The sequence below is a fragment of the Homo sapiens genome, chromosome 4 (genome assembly GCF_000001405.40).
Source record: "Homo sapiens chromosome 4, GRCh38.p14 Primary Assembly".
NCBI classification, from domain to species: domain Eukaryota; kingdom Metazoa; phylum Chordata; class Mammalia; order Primates; family Hominidae; genus Homo; species Homo sapiens.
This window is the reverse complement of record NC_000004.12, coordinates 78,299,120-78,323,965: the sequence shown is the minus strand read 5'-3', so window position 1 is coordinate 78,323,965 and position 24,846 is coordinate 78,299,120. Positions and strand designations below refer to the sequence as shown.

Here is a 24,846-nt window from a genome sequence, read left to right as displayed (position 1 = left end):
CTCACCCCCACCCGACTGAATCTTTAACAAGATTCCCAGGAGAGTCCTATGAGAAATTCTGTTCTAGAGGGACCTCAAATAAAAGCTAAGTCTTCAAAATAATTAAACCTTTTAGAAGAAAAAAAAAATCCTTCAACCATAGTAGAAGAAGAATCAGAGGCTGAGCTGAGCAATTTAAATAGATCCAAGGAACATCAGTAGCAAAGGCCTCCAGGAGACATACAGTTCTAGATCCTTTGCTCTGTCTGTCCATCCCTGGGCTGCCACGTACTGCCACACTGGTTGTCACTAGTGACTCCGGGAGGAGCCAGGCACAAAGGTAGCTATGAGAATAGCGCCCTTGGGGGTGTGCAGCAGAGAAACCCCTCCCCCTACAGACCTCATCTAGATTGACACCCACAGAGGCATGGGAATCAGTGAAGGAAGACTGATAAAAAAGTAAAAAATGTTTTCTGATGTTGTTTTGGGGGATGCAGGTTTTTATTAATTTGTTGTAATTTGTTTAGTTTTTTTGTGCAAGGGGCTGATGTGTATTTCTTGGGTTTGGGTTTGCTTTTTTATGAAGTCACTTGAATCTATCAGTGCTAGCAAACACTCAGCTAAACTGGTGAGATCAACTTGATGAAATTACTACAATTACTACAATTCTTTTTGCTAATACTCAGTAGTAATATTTAATAAATGTGCACAATTCGGACTGATTATTGAAAATGTCTCCAATCTTTTACAATTAGCAACAAACCCTCTTTTGTGCCAGCAATTCTAGCCACACTTTGGAAACATAGAGGCCTTGTGAAAAAGAAACATGAAGTCAAAGTTCTGCCTTGTGAAGCACCCAGTTCATTTTTTTTGAAGAGCCAAAGCACAGGACAAATGCATACAAGTGGCCATCGCCATATTACCAGAGCTCTTCTGCTTTCTAGCCACAACAGCCCATTCCTCTCTCCTCCATTACCTTGCTGGGGGCTTCTGGGCACAGACCAGCATCCATGGGTTTTGTTGCTGCTACTGTTACTCATTCATTCATTCATTATTTATTATCTATTTCTCTCACTAAAATATAAGTTCCATGAGAAAAGGACTTTTCATTTGACTCGTTTGCTAGTATATTCACAGTGCCTAGAAATGCCTGGCACCCGGGAGACACTCAACAAACATTTGCCGGAGGAATGAATAAAGACAGACTGTCCTCCAGCTTCCAATAAGTAGTGTTCCTTTTGATCACTGTTAATTTTAAATTTTTTTGTCCTCTCATCACAGACTTGGATTTTAGTTAAATATCTGTAGTATTGTTTTTTCATCCTGCACTAGGGTTTGTTGTGTGGCTCAAAGTAAAAACTGTTACGATAACTGCTGACACCACTTCAGTGTCTAAGTAAATTGCTTCTTCCTATAAAGAATCTGTCTCTTGCTTTTATTAGCTGCAGTAATATTCTAATCACTCTGTGCTGTAGTCTCAAAGAAAGGAAGGAGAGTTCTAGAAAACAGTTGTTTTTCTCTTCCTTACAGAAAGCATTTGAAACTAAAGGTGCTATAAAAGAAACCCTCAATAGTGCATATGTGCGCACACACTCACACGCACACACATACACACAACACCCATCTAACCTTTTTAACATTCTGCAGAGAGGCAAAGATATTTCTGGGAAGATGTGGGAAGAAGAGCCCAGTGCAATCTCATAGGACTCCCAGGCCTGATTCATAGACAGCACTTCAGCAGAATTGAAAACGGAACAGATTATGGGAAGGCAGAAAGGTTTCCAGAGATACGGGATGACTGACAGGAAATACATCAATCAGCACACATAACACTCAGGTAAGGTTGGAAACAATTGGTAGTTGTGCTCGGTTTCCCAATGGAATCTTAGGCAACTCAATTAACCTCTTTCTGCCACATTCTCATCACTTGTAAATTGAGTACAACAACCTACCTAGTGAGACTGCACAGGGATTTGCTAATAAACATGAGTAGAGAGCTATATGTATGATATCTAATAATATTATGTTAACGAGCATAAAGTCACAGGGCTACAAGGGACTCAAGAGGTCAATTCAGTCCTTTCACATGGGACCACAATGAAACCATTCTGGCAGGATTAGATTCTAACCTTTTTTTTTTTTTTTTTTGACGAAGTTTTGTTAACTCCAGGCTGGAGAGCAATGGTGTGATCTCAGCTCACTGTAACCCCCGCCCCCGAGTTCAAGCTATTCTCCTGCCTCACCCTCCCAAGTAGCTGGGACTACAGGCACGTGCCACCATGCCCAGCTAATTTTTTGTATTTTTAGTAGAGATGGGGTTTCACCATGTTGGCCAAGCTGGTGTCGAACTCCAGACCTCAGGTGATCCACCTGCCTCGGCCTCCCAAAGTGCTGGGATTACAGGCGTGAGCCACCGAACCCAGTCAGATTCTAATCTTTTTAAAGGTGCCTGTATAAAGGGCTTCCCAGAAACCTTCCCTTTGTCAAGGATGTTTTCTTAAATTTAAGATGCTCTAACCCTGAAGCATTAGTATGCTGTGCTTCTCTCCTGTATGGAATGGAGACTAGGAGCTGTACCACCTTGAACTCTTCAGCCACTGGAATACAGTAGCGTGATGGTTTATAGCACGGATACTGGATACTGGACTTAGATTCCCACGGGATTCTACTCTGTGCTGGCTACATGACTTTGAGCACATCACAACCTCAACTTCCTCAAGCCTCAGTTTCTGCTCCTGGACAACAGTTGTCCTACTGACCCCATAAGGCTGGCATTGAGACTAAGTGAGCAAAACTAGTAAGGCACTTCTCACAGTGCCTGGCTCATGGTGGGTATCAAATAAATGGTCATATTATTTTCTGGGCTGAAAAACCCTGGTCACTCTAATTTTTATTTATTTACAATTCTAACTATTTCTGAACCCACTCCGAATTCCCCATTTTTGAATGTTTAATGTGGTGCTCAAAATTGTAAGAAGCACCTAACTGCGCTGAGTGGTCTAGGAAGATGTCACTTTGTTTTTTCATGGGAGCACTGTACCAATGGGAAAACCAGAATCATCAGGCTACAGTGAGGAATTTCTTGTGGGCTTTTCTAGCTCCTCCACTTTCAACCTGTGTGTCACAAAAGCCAGGGGTCTCACTTGGCATCTCTCTGAATTCTTGGAAAGACTGGTGTTCCTGGAGGTCTAATTCCTCTGTGGTTTCCACTAAAAACCTCAGGGTGCACAGTTCAAGGCTGTGTAAAACTATGCAGACTAGTTTCACAGATTCCATCAAACAAAAACCACTTCTGTAAAATGCGGGAGAGAGAGAGAGAGAGAGACAGAAGGAGGGAGGGAGAGAGAAGTTATGCTTTCTCTTTCTATTTTCTCCTTGTACTTTCCTCACATCAAGCAGGGCTAGGCACTATAATAATTTTCTTTAGGGGACATAGGTTTTGCCAGAAAGCGGAAGTGACTGGAGGAAGCTTGTCTGGCAAACCTAAACCCACGGAAGAGAATGGAGAAGCAATTAAACAGAGGAGAAAAATGCTTTTTTCCGCCACTTGCTCCCCAGCACCTCTCCTCCCACCAGAGTCTGTGGGGTCCCTAAGGAAAGAGCCACATCACCCTCCACTTTGGCACCTGGAAGTAACCAGACCACAGGGGAAGGCTGTGTGGCATGTGCCTTGGGACAGCACTGGGACTAGGCAGCAACAATGATGCCCATATTCCACAAGTGGTTATAAAAACAGAGCCACAGGAGTTTAAATGGCCACAGAGAGGTTGGGCAATGCATACATGGGTAGAAACCAGGATGTCTGGAGAGTGGTGACCTTCCCTTCAATTTCTGGGCACCATGAAAATCCTCTGGAGTCTGGAGCCTCCCAGGGAGCAGGGGATTCCCCATCATGTTCCAGGACACCTGAGTACATGGATGGAGGTTTGCACCCACGGAGCAGGAGGGCTTTATAATTTACCGGCCACTTTGACACTCTTAACCATCTTTGAGCCTAGCAAAAAGGCTACATGTCAGCCTATTCTAACACTGTGAATGCAAACACTTAGAGAGGTTAAGTGTCTGGCCCTGGGCCTCTGCATTTCAATTCTGCATCCTTCCTGCTGTGCCATATGACACCTTGTGCCTGAAATCTTTTAACCTAGTCTTGAAACCCACATTTCACTGGGAGGGTATATTGAATTGGAGGCCACTTCAGTGAGTAGACTTGTAGGATACAAAACTGAATTTGCAGCATGCTTACTGTTATGTTACAAATATAAACACACAAAGCTATGAATATGAAAAAAGACTCAGATATTATAACAAAATGGAAAAGGCAATTGGGTTTAGGTAGTGGGTGTATTATAAAATTTTTTTAATGAACATATGTTTACAATGAAAAATACAAACTAATGATTTTTTTTTCACGTAGCTTTAGAGTCAAACTATTCACCCAACAGCAAGGCTACTTGTGGGAACAGAAAGGAAACTATAATACTTCCCTTTCATCTCCTCAACCACTCATAGATGGCCTGGCTATTGAGTCAAATTATTTATTCAGGATGTCATCAATTCTCTGTAGATGATATGCCAAGGCAAACAGCAGAAATCACTTCTAAATTCTGACAGAAGTCCAGATTTTGCCCTGAAGGGACCAATTCATATTCAGAGTAGCAAATTAGAAGGAATAATAAATGAAATTCTACAATGAGCTCTGAGTCTTTTGTAACTACACATAGTGGTCCCTGAAAGAATTTCTGTCTGGGACTCCTGCGAATGGAACCTTGGAAAAGGTGGAGTGGAAGGGATTAGCTCTTTAAGATCATCTATGGTTCACAAAGGGAGGGAGGCTATTGGTGGGGGCTACTCTTTTGCACGTTGGTCTCCTGCTTTATTCACAAGCATCTAGGAACCATTCTAAAATTAAACATCGGTCTTCCTGGCTTTGGTCCCACCTCACAGGATCTCTCAAGAGATAAGCCCAGAGGCTACCTAACACTTTCTCAAATCATGCTTACCTTCACATATGCCAGTGCTCTCCAAGTAAAAATGGGCTCTACACTGGGCTAGACACTCGCCAGAGGGGATGCCCACGTCAGACAGCTGCTCCACTTGCAGTCCTTCCTCTGGCTTCTTACACCCAGTACAGTGAGAGGGTGCGGGACCCATACAAGCCAGGCAGGAGGAGTGACAGGCTGCAAATGGAAATAAAATGCAGAAAATAATCCAAGGATCAAATATATGTTGCAAATCTTTCATTAAATCAAACCCACTTAGAAAAGTTCACCAAATGCAGCCTTTCAGCATATTATTTTTCTAATGTTCTATACAAAGCACAGAGTGATAATAATGTTTGTGAAAGGAACAGTGAGGGGTGGTGTTAACCAGTCACATCTCCCAGGTCCCATAAGGGCTGTCGGGCTAGACAACAACAACAACAAACAAACAAATGAGCAAAAACAGCAAACTGGACAATATTGGCTTGGTTCTCCAGAGAAACACACTCACTAAATGATGATTTAACATTATGCCCTTGGTTTTTATTGCAGATTTTTAGAACCATTCATAGGGAGGCCATTACTGTATCTTTTGCAAAAATGGTGGTTGTGTTATTACCCATGAGTCATCCAACACCCACTACATAGGGGTCCAGGCAACAAATTCCTCTTAGAATTTTTCTGGCTAAAGCCTGCTTTTCTAGACAGTATTTTGCTTACCCTGGCTACTGGTGAAAAGCAAAGCCAAATAAGGTAGTCAAACTATCTGGTGCCCACATTTGAATACAATTAACTCTCCCGTTCTTTAAAAGATTCTGTAAATTTTCTCTTCTGAAACAGTTGTTGCAGCTTTCCTGTTTCAAATACATTGTTCTTGTAACTATTCTCAAACTCTGTTCTAAGGTGCCTGATATACAAATAAATATACATTGATTTCACTTAATTCTGATGTATAAATAAATATACATTTATTTCACTTAATTAAAGTGTTTGTTCCCAATATTCTAGTTTCAAAATGCTTAAATGATATTGCCCTCCCAAGCAGCCCAAAGCCTTTATGGTAAACAGCTATTTAAGATTTTTCCATTTCACTCAGCCCAGAGGCATCGCTAGTGACTCTCAGTTTGCTCAGCAGTGTCATTACCAAAAAGAAATTCTTTAGGGAAAAACAAAATGAAGTCTAAGAAAAACATTAGCAAAGGTAAGAGAGCAGAGAAAGGAGGAAATAAGAGTTCTAGTTTGTTTAATTTAATATTCCCCCTAAAAACAGCCAGAAAAAAAAATCATAACACTTTGAGTGTCTTCACAAATTTTCAAATAAAATTTTTTCAGATTAACCCTTTGCAAAACTACTGTAATGAAAAATGCATATAATGTATGGATAGCCATAAAAGATACACTAGAAGAAAAGTTACACTGGAAAGTTATATTATTGGAAAAAAGTAAATCTATGTTCTTGTGGGATAGCCTCTCAAGAATGATGGTGACACCAACGATACCTTTGCAGACTCCATGGTCAGAGTAGAAACCCTCTCCACAGCGGGGCAGACAGTGGCCTTGACGCAGAGCCTTGGGGGGGCTGCAGGCTGTACAGTGAGAGGGTGTGGGCCCAGAGCAGCTGGCACATGAGTTATGACAAACTGAGGAAGAGAGTGAGAGGGAGAACGCCATGGGACATGGGTGAATAAAGTGCCCACTTCCTGGCTGGGCTTCACGGGCCTGGGACTCTTAGTCCCCTGTGGATGTCACACCAAACCAAGGGGAAAATGTGTTAGGAGGTGGTTACACTGCCAGAACTGCCCACATGGCCGTTTACCCACCATTTAGCCATGCTCTACATATTGCTTATTAGCTACCCTTTATTTAGTGTTTGTACTAAGCACTTTCTACACATTGTCACTTTTAATTTTCCTAACAACATTATGAGGTAGGCATTATTAACTACATTTTATAGATGAGGAGACTGAGGTCTTGGAAGTTCAAAAATTTACCCACGGTGACATGCTTTATTCATAGCAGGGCTGGGATTTAGCCCTAGGTCTGTCTGGACCTAAACCTCACACTGCCTAAATGAATTAGAGTGGAAAGGCCATGGGTCAGAGTGTTGGAAGCACTGGCATTTTGAGCAGTTTCTCCACCAATTCTTCAATGCCCTCAGTCAAGCCTGGGTCTCTCCTGGCCTAGTTTTCTTGGCATGAGCACAGTGAAAGGTTGGACTAAATGATCATTTAAGATACTTCCAGCTTTGACATTCTAGGATTTTAAGTAACAATTACAGTAATGACTCTGACCACAACATATGACAATGTCAGGAACACATGTCCCCTGCTTTGACCCTGGTGTTAATGGGGACATCTCTGACTCTAAGGGACAGGTACTGGTGGCATGGCCTGGCTGAGCCTCTAGCAGGGCTGGGGTCAGGAGTGAGATATGGGAAGAAGACTCTGCAGGACCATGGTCAGGAGTTGGGGGTGGTGGGTAGAGATGGGATGAGAACGTGGGGGCAGGACACAGAGGAAAGGTGGTGAACACCAGGTGAGTAAAGAGGTTGGCAGGCAAAGGGGAGGCTGCTAAGGAGAGATGTTGAGATGGGTCTAAACACCCTGCACTAACAGACAGTAGGTAGACGTGAGGATGTGGGCATATGTTTCAGAGAGGAGGGGAGATCAAGATGTCCCAGGCAACAAGAAGTTCTCAGAGTTACCTGTGAGGAAAGACACAAGTCAGGCATACATAAGGTAGAAATTTATAAAGTCTCAAATGGGTATGTTTCATAGTTTAGGCTGCATAAGTCTGAAAGAAACAATATATAAGTAGCACACAAAAACAAGTTTCCAGTAGATACAGACTTTAGCTTTACTAGCTATCAAACTTGGTTTAACTTTTTAATTTTATTTTTGTGGTGTGTTGTAGTTGCCAATATATGACCTATGTCATAAAAGAAATGATTCTGTTACATCTGCAACCTAAGTTAGTGATGGTTTACAAGTAAACAAGGACTGTATGTTGGGCATTTCAAAAGGACCAAATGAACTCTAATGATGATTAATATGCGTAAGTCCTTCATGAAAGCACTCTAGTCCCCCAGCATCCACCCATATCTCCCACTCCCATATCAAATACACATTGGCTTCATAATGAAAAAAGCTATCTTTTAAAGTTATGCTTTCCCATCATACACTCGAGTTCCCAAATTAGCAACATATAACACCAAGTATAGTCAAACATGTACTCAATACTTTTTGATGATGATGATGGTGACCCATCTCTTACCTTTGCACCTGCCAGTGGCATCAGCATAGTACCCGCCAGGGCATTCAGACATGCATTTCCCATCATGCAGCACTGTCTTCTCAGTACAGGTAAGACACCTGGGGCTACTGGGGCCACAACTGTCACAGGATTGGTCACAAGCTAAGGGGAGGCAAAAAACCCATCAGAGAAAGGCAATAGTGAGCAAAAGAAGCAGTGAAGTCTATTCTTTACAATATCCACAATGGGTATCAATATCATAATCTCATTTTCTGGCTGCTCAGCAAAATTCTGTTTCCTTGATTCCAACATTTCATCGGACTCTGTGCTTTTTGTTTTCACAGTTGAAAGAGAATTGAAGAATTACTCATTGAACTAAGCATAGCAAAAACTCTCAGGCACACCCACCAGTGTAACCAACTTAATATGAGGTTTAAAGTTAAAATGGCCTTAGAGGTGCGGTTGCCAGGTTTATCAAATAAAAATATCAGATGCTCCATAAAATTTGAATTTCAGATAAATAATAAAGTTTTTTAGCATAAGTATGTACCAAATATTTTATCCTTTATTCTACCCTACTTGGAGAGAGAATTCAGAAAGTCAAGATTCTACTAAGCAAGGTCATGCTACTAAAATTATGTTAAAATTGCTGAACTTCACACAGTCTTTCAGGATCTCATTCACTTATTCATTTACCACCTAAAACATATGCTAAGGTCTGTGTCAGGTCTTGTGCCGGGGTTAGAAACACAAAAACAAAATCAACTTAGTTTTCACTTTAAGTAGCTTAGTAGTCTAATACAGGAAAAGAAATAGACAATATTGGAAATATTTAAAATATCACTCAGATCAATCTATATAGGCACAATGAAAATTCAAAAAAAAATGTGAGGGTGGGGGTAAGAGGTGGAAAAGTCAAGAAAGCATTCATAGAGGAGCAACCGTTGAGCATTGTCTTAGGAAGCAGTAGGACCATGTCAGGCTGAAGGGAATGTACTCCAGGCTGAGGCAGCAAAGTAAGCCAAGGCTCAGAACCTGGGAGGAGACTAGGCTGCCCAGGAAAACAGTAGTTTCATTTGGCTGGAAAAATGGGAAGTCCAGATTATAGAAACCTATGGCCTGACTCTGTTGTCTAGATTTTCATCCTAGGAAAGGCAATGAGATTGAACCCCTGCAATTCTAAACACAGTAGAAACACGGCTGTATTTGTATCTAAGAAAGATCATTTTGGCCTCAGTTTGGAGGGTAAAGAGGAGAGTTGGAAACCGCATTGGAAGACCATGGCAAGGAGCATGAATCAAGATGATTAAGGGTTGAATTAGAGCCGTGGAGGTTGTGAGAGATTTGAGAGCAGTGAAGAAAAAACCATCTCACATGGCTTCCAGGGGCCTGTCTTGGGGGACAAGTGATGTCGCTCACAGAGTACAAGAAAGAATAGGTGTGGGGGAGTGCCATGAGCTCAGTTTGGAACATGCACAATCCAGGGAGTAATGTAACTTACAGTTCTGGAGCTCGTGGGAGAGGTATGGGGTCATCATATACAAGCAATTGTTGAAACTAAAAATTAGTTGAGTGATTCAGGAAAAGTATGCAGGATAAGACAGAAGTGGGCAAGGACCTGGGTAGCATCAGCATTTAAGAAAAGAAGAAGAAGAAGAAAAAAAAACTAGTACAGGTGACCAAGAAGAAATGATCCAAAGATAAGGGAGAGAAAAAAGAGCATGGTGACTGAGAAGTCAAAGGAGGAAAAAGGTTTCCAAAAGAAAGTCATGACAGGTGCAGAGAGGACAAATAACATCTGAAAAGTTTCACTATACTTAGGAACCAGGCTGTGGGTGTCCTGTGCCACACATTTCAGTGGAGTCATTAGACCAAATGAAAGTGAAGGCTATGATTATAAACTGTTCCTTTAAAGGACTCAGGCTGAGAACAGAAGGCAACAGGGAAACAAATAATTGAAAGGGGAAAAGGTTGTTTTGTCTTTCTTATATTGTAAAAAATCAAGGCAATTATAGAAACTGGAAAGAATTTTTAAAAAGAAAAGTTTGAATGATTGCTGAAAGAATATCTAAGAGAAAAGAGGGATGCATATTCAAAAATACAGTTGAGAGACTGGCTTTGAACAGAGCAGAGAAAGGCCTCCTTATGAAGGGTGGAAGGAGGTGAGGGAGAGTGCAGTCACAGGCAAGTCTGTGACTCAATCTTTTCTATGCTGGTTGGCTAATGTCTTTAAAAATAAAAAAAGCAAACCTTCCTGCTACAGAGAATCAATGTTTCAAAAATAGAGAACTGCTGAGATTTATTCTGTCTGTTCCCTTAATCCATCTACACCCTGCTAACCTCCTGAAAAATATTTTGAGAACATAAGAAAAAAGACGCTAAATGATGGGGCCAAATGTCCCATCTCGCATCCTGGAGAATCCAGCATCTGTTCACAGGCAAATGTGTAGAGTAAGAGAATGGGCTATGGCAATGGCCTTAATATCAGGGAAAAAGAAAATCACCCCTGAACTCAGGACTGGAACAAAGAAATGAAAATGAATCTGAAAAGCATTCTTCCCTCCCACATGCCACAAAACCTCCTGAGGTTTCCAATTCTAGAACTGACATCTCAACAGAAGTGAGTAATCTAAAAGCTAAATGCAATTTCCAAGAAATGAAAAATTGCAGCAATTTTTGGAAATTAGAATTGACCAACAATAAAAGCATTGCATATCAAACATTTTAAGACACACCTAAAGTTACACCCAGAGGGAAATTTGTAAATCTAAATAAAATTATTAGGAAGATGTAATTTCTTCCCAAACTAATCTATAACTCCAATGTAATATCAATAAAAATTCCAGTTGATGAGCTTTCTTTCTTTCTTTCTTTCTCTCTCTCTCTCTCTCTCTCTTTCTTTCTTTCTTTCTTTTTCTTTCTTTCAGACAGGGTCTCACTCTGTCACCCAAGCTGGAGTGCAGCAGCACGATCATGGCTCACTGCTGCTTCAATCTCTCAGGCTCAAGTGATTCTCCTGCCTCAGCTTCCAGAGGAACTAGGACTACAGGCACACATCACCACACCTGGCTAATTTTTTTTTTTTATTTTTAGTAGAGATGAGGTCTCACTATATTGCCCAGCCTGGTCTCGAACTCCTGAGCTCAAGAGATCCTCTTGCCTTGGCCTTTTCAAAGTGCTGGGATTATAGGTGTGAGCCACCACATCCAGACCCAGTTGAGTTTTCTTAAGAATTCAGTAAATGTGCTCTAAAGCTTATGAATAGCTAAGTCAACTTTGAAAAGGAAAGAAAGGGAATTTTCCCAATCAGATATTGAGACATACTACAAAGCCATAGAAATTAATGAAAAAAAGTTTGATAGTGGTACAAGAACAGAAATTTAGACTATGGAAATTTAGAAATTTCTATATCTTATAGCTCAGACAGAACTATGTGTATATGGAAATTTAATATACAATAAAGAGAAATAAGGAAGGCTAGGCTGAATTACTAAACAATGTTGGGAAAACTGGATCGTGAAATGGAAAAAAATCAAATGGGACCCTACTTAAACCCATATATATATATATATATATGGACTTCAGATGGCTCGACAACCTAAGTTAAGATAAAACATCAAATTAATAGAAGAGAGATTAATTTATTTTTGAACCTTAGCAAAGGTCTTATTAAAAATTCAAAAGCAAAACCTTAAAGCAAAAAATAATGAATCAAAGATTATTGTTTAACAAAGGCATTATATTCAAAGTTAAAAGACAACAGAGTGAGAAAATTTGCATATTTAAAACTGAAAAAAGGCTACTATCTATAACATACAAGGAAACTCCATAAAATGAACTCCATAAAAGGAGGCAAGGCCAATAGAGCAATGGGAAAAGCACATTTAAAAAGAAATCTATAGAATAGGAAACTTCAAGACCAACAGGAGTTGAAGATATACTCAAACTCATTAATCATCAGAAATAGGCAAATTTAATGGGTTGACTCTTTACACCTCTTGACCAGAAAAAATCAGAATCTTGATCATGCCAAGTGGTGGCAAGGATGTGGAGATGAGTGAACCCTTATGCTTGGGAATATAGATTGCACAGCCATTCTGGCAAGTAACCCGGCACTACTTGGTCAAATGAAGAATATGCAGAGTCAAAAAACCAGCCATTCTGCTCCTGGGTATAAATCCCAGGAAACTCCCTCTAGAGCTTTACAAAGGAACACATTTGAGGCTGTTCCCTGGTGCTCTCTAGTGATGCAGATGGAGAAAAAGGAGGGAGTCCAACACTGGGAGCGTGGATGGGTAATATGACGGGGGCACACCAGGGAGTGCTACATAGCAGTGAGAAGTGAAGGGCTAGGAGAGAGAACAACGTGGTGCATGTTAAAAATGTACTGCTGAGTGAGAAAAGAAGGAAACAGCATGCACTTTGTAACATCTCAAGAAAATTAAATACATATGCGCTCAAAATAAAAATACCCAGTTAGATAAGCTCATAAAAATAAAAAGATTTTAAAAAATGGTTGCATGGGTGCAAAAGAGAAATGAAGATTAAAAAAAGGGAGAAAGAAAAAAGGAGGGAAGAAAGAGAAAGGAAAAAAAAGAGAGGGAATGACTAACAGAAACCTCTGATTTATTATGCTTTGATTTATTATGTTAGCTGCAGCCCGAAAAGCCCTTCATAATGGCATAAATACTTAAAAGAATGAGGAGGTTTCCTCCTTTGAATTGCCCCACTCTTTATATCTAATATTTGTTGAACGCAATACACGTACCACAGGTGAACCTGGTTACTGTAAGATCTTTCAGCCAGGGCATACCACCCTTCATAACAGGCTATGCTGGTTTTTTCTAAGTACTTGACTTTGAGATTTCTACAGATACAGGCTGGTAGGTTATAAATTGTTAAACCCACACCAGCCGGTCTTTATCTTGAATAGTATTAATCTGAAATGGAAATAAGTCAGCATTATCAGCATCTGACGTCTTAATTAACATTCCGATACCAATCAGTGAGTTGGTTCACTGTTGTTTTAGAACATATTTCTGTGAACATTTCTGAAGTCATTTTGAAACAAACTTGGAGAATAGTAACAATTTTATAAAACGCGTAAGCTCCAGTTTTGTGTATTAAAAGGCCTGTTGGTCAACACCAGTGGCATCACCAACTCTTGCATCAGGCTAAGCACATGACGTGTTTAGTAATTACTTGTAGATCTGTTGATTCATTGGTTGACTAATGTCAGCTATGATCCATCCTCCTGCCTGGAAGTTTCTTTGAGATGTTTTTCAAAATGTGTACAGATAAAGCAGATTCCCACCTCTTACAGCCTCCAGTCTCGCATTAACTATTCCTCTTTTTAAATACACCACTTCTCCAGCAAAAGTTGTCTTCTCAATCCAGATAATGTAGAGTCTCAGTGGCAGGTCAGGGTCACCGTTCCTCCATCAGTGACAGTAACCAGCATCCCAGGGGACTTAAAGGGTAAATGCCTTTAGGCCCTTGGATTAGTGCAAATTTGACATCTGTCGACCTTTAGAGAATACATCTGGCTTAACTGAGCAGGAAAGTGATGCTGGCAGAAAAAGATTAACATGCTCAGGCTAATGGCAGCCTGGCCTTTCTTTCCTTATTCTCTCCTGAATCCACACAAAAGCCACCTGTGACTCATTGATACCAAGAGAGATTTTTCATACTGGCAATACTGATGGATCCCTGCACAGTTTTAAGCAAGCAGCTCCCAAGGGCTAGCTCTCTTCTCTAAGACAAGTGGATTTGTCAAGTCCCTAAAATCATCTCATTTTTGCTGTTGCCCTGCTCAGTGAACAAAATGAGGACGATAACTCAAGAAAGTTTTATGAGCTACACATTTTTATTGATTTGGTGGACTTAGCTATGAAAAAAAAAGTCCTCCTGGCCTCTCTATAGGTATGACCATCAAAGTAAACTCAATTCAAACCTTTCATTTACTGTCAGGATGCCTGCAGACCTGGCAATGTCCACAGGGGTAGCCAGCTCATCTAAAGGCTGACAGAAGACACAGAAGAAGGTGAAGAAGTGGAAAGGGGGAAAGGATAATGAAAAGGAAAATAAAAAAAAATAGGCAGAGGTGCATAAGGAAATACCACATTATAATGAGCAGTAGAGTGGTTCACAGGCAGTTAAGGCCCAGAGCCAGAAGATCTAAGCTGGAATCCCAACTCTGCCCCTTATTAGCTGTGTGACCTTAAGCAAGTTTCTTACCCTCTCTGTTTCCTATCTGGAAAATGAGAATGGTTATATCTACCTCATGAAATTGTGAGGATTAAACACCAAACACTGATAGAATGCTTACTATGTCCCAGGCAGTATCCTAAGTGCTTTGCGTATCTTAACTCGATCTCTCAACAGCCTTCTGAGTTGGGGGTGTATTCATTTTCTATTGCTGCTGTAGCAAATTACCATAAACTCTTTGGCTTAAAACAACACAGACTTATCATCTTATAGTTCTAGAAGTTAGAAGTTCTAGAATCAAAGTTCCTTCTGGAAGCTTTAGGGGTAGAATCTGTTCCTTGCCTGGACGCTCCAGGGGTGGAATCTGTTTCCTTGCCTTTTCCCAGATTCTAAAAGTCACCTGCATGCTTATGGCATTTTCCTTGCTTCACTCTATCACTCCGACCTCTGGTCCATCCTCGATTCTACTTTTCTGACTCGACTCTGTTGCCTCCCTCATATAAGGACTCTTGTGATTGATTGCATGGGGCTTACCCAGATAATCCAGGATAATATCCTCACATCAAGATCCTTAACTTAATCACACCTACAGAGTCCTCTTTGCCATTCAAGGGAACACATGACAGTTCCACGGATTAGGACAAGGGCATCATTGGGAGCCCATTATTGTGTCTTCCACAGGTGCTACTATTATCCCCGTTTCACAAGTGGGAATTGACATGCACAGAGATTGACTAATGTGCCGAAAGCCATGCTTTTCCTCCTGACTTTTCTGCCTCTCAGTGGGTTAATATTTATAAAGCACTTGGAACCGTGCCTGGTTCAAGGAAGTGCTAAGCTGGGTTAACTCTCATTGTTATGGCCATGGGTGTTAAGGTAGAATGGATAATAACTGCTCAGCTTTAAGTCAGTGGCACCAACACCAAAGGCGGGTCTGCCCTCAGCTGGCCTAATAGTCTCTTTGTCCCCATGTACATTTGGAAGGCAGTCTGGTGTTGGTAGAGAGTTTGGGATCTGGGGAAAGGAAAGCCTGGGTGGGAGCCCAGCTCCTTTCCCTCCAGCTGTGGGTCTTGAGCAGGCCACCTGGGCCTCACTATCTTCATCTGCGGGACAAGGCTAGAATGAGCACCCCAACCCTAGCAGACTGGTGGGGCAATTAAGAGGAATACCACTGATGGAAAGTGTGTTATGCACATCTAAATCAAAGATTAATCTCAGCAGCTATTCACATATATGTTGAGTAAAAGAAACATTGGTAATGTGCTATGATTTGAATACAACAAGAGATGCTGGAAAAGAAAAAGGAAAGGACACGTCAGCATCGCAACCCAGCACTCACCGCTACAGGTGCCCTGCCTGTTGTAGAAGCCTTTTCCACAGCTGCTCTCACAGCCGCCATCTCTCAGCACGTGGAGGGGATCTCTGCAGGCCAAGCAGTGCTTCTCCGTTGGGCCCCAGCAACCTGCACAGGACTCATGGCAGACTGCAGACGAATAGCAAAATCAGTGAGTAATCTACGGCAGAAAGGACTGGTCATCATTTTTCTTTTAAATATTTTAGAATACACAAGGAGGATGTCAGTTGGTTCCTTAGTTCCTAAACTGCTATTGACACATGTACACCTCAGGACAAACACAACACCCTCTTCTTCAAGAAACCGTTTCTAGGGGGAGGAGCCAAGATGGCCGAATAGGAACAGCTCCGGCCTACAGCTCCCAACGTGAGCAACGCAGAAGACGGGTGATTTCTGCATTTCCATCTGAGGTACCGGGTTGATCTCACTAAGGAATGCCAGACAGTGGGCGCAGGTCAGTGGGTGCATGCACCATGCGCCAGCCGAAGCAGGGCGAGGCATTGCCTCACCTGGGAAGCGCAAGGGGTCAGGGAGTTCCCCTTCCTAGTGAAAGACAGGGGTGACAGACGGCACCTGGAAAATCGGGTCACTCCCACCCGAATACTGCGCTTTTCCGACGGGCTTAAAAAACGGCGCACCAGGAGATTAAATCCGGCACCTGGCTCGGAGAGTCCTACGCCCACGGAGTCTCGCTGATTGCTAGCTGAGATCAAACTGCAAGGCGGCAGCAAGGCTGGGGGAGGGGCGCCCGCCATTGCCCAGGCTTGCTTAGGTAAACAAAGCAGCCAGGAAGCTCCAACTGGGTGGACCCCACCACAGTTCAAGGAGGCCTGCCTGCCTCTATAGGCTCCACCTCTGGGGGCAGGGCACAGACAAACAAAAGACAGCAATAACCTCTGCAGACTTAAATGTCCCTGTCTGACAGCTTTGAAGACAGCAGTGGTTCTCCCAGCACGCAGCTTGAGATCTGAAAACTGGCAGACTGCCTCCTCAAGTGGGTCCCTGACCTCTGACCCCCGAGCAGCCTAACTAGGAGGCACCCCCCAGCAGGGGCAGACTGACACCTCACAGTGCCGGGTACTCCAACAGACCTGAAGCTGAGGGTCCTGTCTGTTAGAAGGAAAACTAACAAACAGAAAGGACATCCACACCAAAAACCCATCTGTTCATCACCATCATCAAAGACCAAAAGTAGATAAAACCACGAAGATGGGGAAAAAACAGAGCAGAAAAACTGGAAACTCTAAAAAGCAGAGTGCCTCTCCTCCTCCAAAGGAACGCAGTTCCTCACCAGCAACGGAACAAAGCTGGATGGAGAATGACTTTGACGAGCTGAAAGAAGAAGGCTTCAGACAATCAAATTACTCCAAGCTACAGGAGGACATTCAAACCAAACGCAAAGAAGTTGAAAACTTTGAAAAAAAAATTTAGAAGAATGTATAACTAGAATAACCAATACAGAGAAGTGCTTAAAGGAGCTGATGGAGCTGAAAACCAAGGCTCGAGAACTACGTGAAGAATGCAGAAGCCTCAGGAGCCGATGCGATCAACTGGAAGAAAGGGTATCAGCGATGGAAGATGAAATGAATGAAATGAAGCGAGAAGGGAAGTTTAGAGAAAAAAGAATAAAAAGAAATGAGCAAAGCCTCCAAGAAATATGGGACTATGTGAAAAGACCAAATCTACGTCTGATTGGTGTACCTGAAAGTGATGTGGAGAATGGAACCAAGTTGGAAAACACTCTGCAGGATATTATCCAGGAGAACTTCCCCAATCTAGCAAGGCAGGCCAACATTCAGATTCAGGAAACACAGAGAACGCCACAAAGATACTCCTCGAGAAGAGCAACTCCAAGACGCATAATTGTCAGATTCACCAAAGTTGAAATGAAGGAAAAAATGTTAAGGGCAGCCAGAGAGAAAGGTCGGGTTACCCTCAAAGGGAAGCCCATCAGACTAACAGCGGATCTCTTGGCCGAAACTCTACAAGCCAGAAGAGAGTGGGGGCCAATATTCAACATTCTTAAAGAAAAGAATTTTCAACCCAGAATTTCATATCTAGCCAAACTAACCTTCATAAGTGAAGAAGAAATAAAATCCTTTAGAGACAAGCAAATGCTGAGAGATTTTGTCACCACCAGGCCTACCATAAAAGAGCTCCTGAAGGAAGCGCTAAACATGGAAAGGAACAACCGGTACCAGCCACTGCAAAATCATGCCAAAATGTAAAGACCATCGAGACTAAGAGGAAACTGCATCAACTAATGAGCAAAATAAGCAGCTAACATCATAATGACAGGATCAAATTCACACATAACAATATTAACTTTAAATGTAAATGGACTAAATGCTCCAATTAAAAGACACAGACTGGCAAATTGGATAAAGAGTCAGGACCCATCAGTGTGCTATATTCAGGAAACCCATCTCATGTGCAGAGACACACATAGGCTCAATATAAAAGGATAGAGAAAGATCTACCAAGCAAATGGAAAACAAAAAAAGGCAGGGGTTGCAATCCTAGTCTCTGACAAAACAGACTTTAAACCAACAAACATCAAAAGAGACAAAGAAGGCCATTACATAATGGTAAAGGGATCAATTCAACAAGAAGAGCTAACTATCCTGAATATATATGCACCCAATACAGCAGCACCCAGATTCATAAAGCAAGTCCTTAGCGACCTACAAAGAGACTTAGACTCCCACACAATAATAATGGGAGACTTTAACACCCCACTGTCAACATTAGACAGATCAACGAGACAGAAAGTCAACAAGGATACCCAGGAATTGAACTCAGCTCTGCACCAAGCAGACCTAATAGACATCTACAGAACTCTCCACCCCAAATCAACAGAATATACATTCTTTTCAGCACCACACCACACCTATTCCAAAACTGACCACATACTTGGAAGTAAAGCTCTCCTCAGCAAATGTAAAAGAACAGAAATTATAACAAACTATCTCTCAGACCACAGTGCAATCAAACTAGAACTCAGGATTAAGAATCTCACTCAAAACCACTCAACTACATGGAAACTGAACAACCTGCTCCTGAATGACTACTGGGTACATAACAAAATGAAGGCAGAAATAAAGATGTTCTTTGAAACCAATGAGAACAAAGACATAACATACCAGAATCTCTGGGACACATTCAAAGCAGTGTGTAGAGGGAAATTTACAGCACTAAATGCCCACAAGAGAAAGCAGGAAAGATCCAAAATTGACACCCTGACATCACAATTAAAAGAACTAGAAAAGCAAGTGCAAACACATTCAAAAGCTAGCAGAAGGCAAGAAATAACTAAAATCAGAGCAGAACTGAAGGAAATAGAGACACAAAAAACCCTTCAAAAAATTAATGAATCCAGGAGCTGGTTTTTTGAAAGGATCAACAAAATTGATAGACCACTTTTTTTTCTAATAAAGAAAAAAAGAAGAATCAAATAGATGCAATAAAAAATGATAAAGGGGATATCACCACCTATCCCACAGAAATACAAACTACCATCAGAGAATACTACAAACACCTCTACGCAAATAAACTAGAAAATCTAGAAGAAATGGGTAAATTCCTCGACACATACACTCTCCCAAGACTAAACCAGGAAGAAGTTGAATCTCTGAATAGACCAATAACAGGAGCTGAAATTGTGGCAATAATCAATAGCTTACCAAACAAAAAGAGTCCAGAACCAGATGGATTCACAGCCGAATGCTACCAGAGGTACAAGGAGGAACTGGTACCATTGGTACCATTCCTTCTGAAACTATTCCAATCAATAGAAAAAGAGGAAATTCTCCCTAACTCATTTTATGAGGCCAGCATCATTCTGATACTAAAGCCTGGCAGAGACACAACCAAAAAAGAGAATTTTAGACCAATATCCTTGATGAACATTGATGCAAAAATACTCAATAAAATACTGGCAAACCAAATCCAGCAGCACATCAAAAAGGTTATCCACCATGATCAAGTGGGCTTCATCCCTGGGATGCAAGGCTGGTTCAATATAAGCAAATCAATAAATGTAATCCAGCATATAAACAGAACCAAAGACAAAAACCACATGATTATCTTAATAGATGCAGAAAAGGCCTTTGACAAAATTCAACAACACTTCATGCTAAAAACTCTCAATAAATTAGGTATTGATGGGACATATTTCAAAATAATAAGAGCTATCTATGACAAACCCACAGCCAATATCATACTGAATGTGCAAAAACTGGAAGCATTCCCTTTGAAAACTGGCACAAGACAGGGATGCCCTCTCTCACCACTCCTATTCAACATAGTGTTGGAAGTTCTGGCCAGGGCAATTAGGCAGGAGAAGGAAATAAAGGGTATTCAATTAGGAAAAGAGGAAGTCAAATTGTACCTGTTTGCAGATGACATGATTGTATATCTAGAAAACCCCACTGTCTCAGCCCAAAATCTCCTTAGGCTGATAAGCAACTTCAGCAAAGTCTCAGGATACAAAATCAATGTACAAAAATCACAAGCATTCTTATACACCAACAACAGACAAACAGAGAGCCAAATAATGGGTGAACTCCCATTCACAATTGCTTCAAAGAGAATAAAATACCTAGGAATCCAACTTACAAGGGACGTGAAGGACCTCTTCAAGAACTACAAACCACTGCTCAAGGAAGTCAAAGAGGATACAAACAAATGGAAGAACATTCCATGCTCATGGGTAGGAAGAATCAATATCGTGAAAATAGCCATACTGCCCAACGTAATTTACAGATTCAATGCCATCCCCATCAAGCTACCAATGACTTTCTTCACAGAATTGGAAAAAACTACTTTAAAGTTCATATGGAACCAAAAAAGAGCCTCCATCGCCAAGTCAATCCTCAGCCAAAAGAACAAAGCTGGAGGCATCACACTACCTGACTTCAAACTATACTACAAGGCTACAGTAACCAAAACAGCATGGTACTGGTACCAAAACAGAGATATAGATCAATGGAACAGAACAGAGCCCTCAGAAATAATGCCGCATATCTACAACTATCTTATCTTTGGCAACCCTGAGAAAAACAAGCAATGGGGAAAGGATTCCCTATTTAATAAATGGTGCTGGGAAAACTGGCTAGCCATATGTAGAAAGCTGAAACTGGATCCCTTCCTTACACCTTATACAAAAATCAATTCAAGATGGATTAAAGACTTAAACGTTAGTCCTAAAACCATAAAAACCCTAGAAGAAAACCTAGGCATTACCATTCAGGACATAGGCATGGGCAAGGACTTCATGTCTAAAACACCAAAAGCAATGGCAACAAAAGTCAAAGTTGACAAATAGGATCTAATTAAACTAAAGAGCCTCTGCACAGCAAAAGAAACTACCATCAGAGTGAACAGGCAACCTACAAAATGGGAGAAGATTTTCGCAGCCTACTCATCTGACAAAGGACTAATATCCAGAATGTACAATGAACTCAAACAAATTTACAAGAAAAAAAAACAAACAACCCCATCAAAAAGTGGGTGAAGGACATGAACAGACATTTCTCAAAAGAAGACATTTATGCAGCCAAAAGACACATGAAAAAATGCTCATCATCACTGGCCATCAGAGAAATGCAAATCAAAACCACAATGAGATACCATCTCACACCAGTTAGAATGGCAATCATTAAAAGTCAGGAAACAACAGGTGCTGGAGAGGATGTGGAGAAACAGGAACACTTTTACACTGTTGGTGGGACTGTAAACTAGTTCACCCATTGTGGAAGTCAGTGTGGCGATTCCTCAGGGATCTAGAACTAGAAATACCATTTGACCCAGCCATCCCATTACTGGGTATATACCCAAAGGACTATAAATCATGCTGCTATAAAGACACATGCACACGTATGTTTATTGCGGCATTATTCATAATAGCAAAGACTTGGAACCAACCCAAATGTCCAACAATGATAGACTGGATTAAGAAAATGTGGCACATATACACCATGGAATACTATGCAGCCATAAAAAAATGATGAGTTCATGTCCTTTGTAGGGACATGGATGAAATTGGAAATCATCATTCTCAGTAAACTATCTCAAGAACAAAAAACCAAACACCGCATATTCTCACTCATAGGTGGGAATTGAACAATGAGAACACATGGACACAGGAAGGGGAACATCACACTCTGGTGACTGTTGTGGGGTGGGGGGAGTGGGGAGGGATAGCATTGGGAGATATACCTAATGCTAAATGATGAGTTAGAGGGTGCAGCGCACCAGCATTGCACATGTATACGTATGTAACTAACCAGCACATTGTGCACATGTACCCTAAAACTTAAAGTATAAAAAAAAAAAAAAAAAAAAAAACTGTTTCTGTGGGCCAGAAGTACAACTTCAGTAAAGAATCACTAAGAGATTCAGAAGAGGAGATCAGAAGCTTTTGAGAAATGGGATTTACAGAGAAGGAAATCATAACTTTCTAGAGAAAGAAGGACTGCTTAATGAAATCAGATGGTCCTCCACCCCCTTGCCTTTTGTACACACACCACAGAGTGTCCACAGGATCACCACCTCCCACCTGCAGCACCATCAGAATCAGCTGAGGAGGGATTCCCTGGACTCTAGTCCCAGATTCAACCTTCTGAGGACCCAGTCCTACTTGACATCTATCGTTCTTTGCCTTTTTATCTCTTTCCCCCCAGTATTATCTGTCCTACACATGTGTCTTAAGAACTCACAAAGCTTGCTTTTCTCTTATACCTTGAATTTCTTACTATAACTTGCTCCTTTAAGATTTTAAAATATTCTCCTCTTCAGCATTTGCTTTTTTTTTTTTTACTCTTCAAGCTCACTCTTCACTTTAGCACTTTTGCAGAATGACCTATTCTGAATAACTGAATTTTTTCGAATTTGGCTAGCTGTATGGCTAACCCCTACCTATGCTTTTGTTAATACATCCTAATTCTTAAAAGGTTTCTTTCACAGTGGAGCACCAGCTAGTTTGCAGAGGCATTGATTCTGACCAAAATTGGTAGGTAGAATGAATGCCTTGCTGCTTGCAAGCAGCTTGGTAACCCTACCTTAGTAATTCAAGTAGGCATCCCTTTGGAGGCAGAAGGAAGGATATCTGCCTTGCAAACCTCAAGATCCAATTCTCTCTTCTCAGTTCTAAATTGCACAAGCAAGTCCTAATTTCAGACACTTTTTCTCCCCAAAAAAGGTAGGGATGATTACGAATTGCAATAAGTGCTAAAAAGGGCTCTGCAATAAAGAGTAACAGTGGTGGGGGTGGTGGGGACTAACTATAGATCAAAAGGATGAAAGGCAGCCAGTCACAGGGAGTTGGACCATCACGAGCAGCTCTAGAGGAGGGAAGGGGTACGTGTATTTGGGGAAACTGAGGGCTGCCCCTGTGGCTGGAGTTGGTGAGGCACAGTGGGGGGCCATGGCATGAATCATGGCTGCAGCCATAGGCAGAGGCCTGGTCAAATTTGACCTTGGAGACCAAGGAAAGAAATTAGGATTTTTATCCTAATTACCATGTGAAGTCATAAATGAGCTCATGCAAGACAGACACAAGATCTGATTGACATGTTTCAAATCACTCTCTGGCTGCCATGTAGAGAGGGTTTAAGGACCTGCTAGCAAGCAGGAGACCAGCACAGAGTCTACTGCATGACCCAGGTGAGAGGGGACTTGGACTAGTTGGGTGGGAAGCAAAGACAAAGGAAAGTTTCCTTATTTATCATCTGGTTCCCTTGTGAGACCGTAAGCTCCATGAGGGCAGGGCCCATTTCTATTTTGTTAACTGTACAAGGCACACTGCTTCTGCTTTACAAATGTCTCTCAAGTGACTTCATTTATATTTAACTCCTTATTTATATTTTATAAATGTAGAACATGAGAATACTGTCCATATGCAGGATAAGTTTAAGGATAAACTTACCCTTAAGCTTTGGATAAGTTTTAGTTATAATTTACTTGGTACTAAATTATAGTTAAAGATGTGGATGCAAAGATCTCAGTAACAAATTCTACCCTTAACATGCATGAAATCTGCCTGACATTCATGTATTCTACCACCCTTTCATTACTGACTGTAGTCATCATCTGAAGAGTCAACGACTGTTCATGCCTTTGCCTCACTCACTCTGGAGTTGATCTAAAGTCATTACCAAAACAAACAAACAAAAAATCCACTCTCATTTCTAAAAAGTTATGCCAAGCTGATATATCAACATTCAACAGAAGCACACAAAGACACATGTAAGGCACGTTCTCAGCTGGCCACAGGTAAGCCACAGGTTATCTGAGGTCTGCTGCAGGAACACTTAGAACACTCTGTTGCCTAGGTGCACTGGTGACATTGTGCAAACTGCACTGGGGCATAAGTGCCAAGGAAATGATGAATGGAAAGTGAGGCTGAAAAGACAACAGGGGTCAGACTTCCAACTTCAGATGGGCCAGAGTACGGACCTTGGACTTCATGCCATGGAAAGTTTTAATCAGGGCAGTGGAATGATCACTTCTGCTTTTTAGAGAGTTCATTCTGGCAGTGGGGAGAAAAGAAAGTAACTCAAGACATCTGTAGGGGATGAAATCATCTTTGTCCAGAGGTATAGAGGAGATAAGAAATTAAAGCACAGCTCCCTAGCTTTCTTCAGTGACTGGCTGAATAGCAGCGCAGACATGCAGTTATACTGGTTGTTAAAATAGTAAAATACTTTCAAACTGGTTGATAAATGGCTGTCACCCCGAGTTTCATCCCCGGAATCTCCACCCGACACCATGCTCCACAAACAAAAGGTCTGACACAGGAGAAGGTCTGGGGTCCCCCTCCTTCTCTCTGATGTGCATCTGTGCCATACAGCTTGTTAGATATTTTTACTACACCCTCGGTGTTACCAATCAGGACAGGGACCAAAGAATGAGCAGGATGGCCTCAATCGACAGACTTAGGGATGGCATTCAGGCCCCCCACAAACTGAGCTCTCCTTAACTTTCCTGCTCCATCTTCCACTATCTCCCCTTGCACACCAATTCTGTGAAGCAGGGCACCCTACATGTGCCATGTGCCCATCTATGAGTTCTGAT

General features: G+C 41.5%; 1 protein-coding gene across 2 annotated transcripts in view, besides 3 other annotated features; it reads right to left on the bottom strand.

Annotated features, from left to right (window-relative positions):
* FRAS1 (Fraser extracellular matrix complex subunit 1) overlaps positions 1-24,846 on the bottom strand; it is a 486,947-nt gene that overhangs the window by 220,304 nt on the left and 241,797 nt on the right. For both annotated transcript variants that reach the window (NM_025074.7, NM_001166133.2), the window contains exons 15-18: positions 15,757-15,900; positions 8,232-8,372; positions 6,458-6,598; positions 4,980-5,156 (exon numbers count right to left, since the gene is read on the bottom strand). In NM_025074.7, coding sequence (NP_079350.5) covers positions 4,980-5,156; positions 6,458-6,598; positions 8,232-8,372; positions 15,757-15,900 — 603 coding nt within the window. The remainder of the gene's footprint in view (positions 1-4,979; positions 5,157-6,457; positions 6,599-8,231; positions 8,373-15,756; positions 15,901-24,846) is intronic.
* Positions 16,303-16,898: an enhancer, noted in NCBI's record as "OCT4-NANOG-H3K27ac-H3K4me1 hESC enhancer chr4:79228222-79228817 (GRCh37/hg19 assembly coordinates)". NCBI's record gives its function as "activates a minimal SCP1, AML or CMV promoter by ChIP-STARR-seq in primed H9 embryonic stem cells {active_cell/tissue: H9 hESC(primed)}" and the evidence as "EXISTENCE:reporter gene assay evidence [ECO:0000049][PMID:30033119]".
* Positions 24,037-24,331: an enhancer, noted in NCBI's record as "tiled region #11576; HepG2 Activating DNase matched - State 14:Gen5'". NCBI's record gives its function as "activates a minimal TATA promoter and a strong SV40 promoter by Sharpr-MPRA in HepG2 cells {active_cell/tissue: HepG2}" and the evidence as "EXISTENCE:reporter gene assay evidence [ECO:0000049][PMID:27701403]".
* Positions 24,037-24,331: a silencer, noted in NCBI's record as "tiled region #11576; K562 Repressive non-DNase unmatched - State 23:Low". NCBI's record gives its function as "represses a minimal TATA promoter and a strong SV40 promoter by Sharpr-MPRA in K562 cells {active_cell/tissue: K562}" and the evidence as "EXISTENCE:reporter gene assay evidence [ECO:0000049][PMID:27701403]".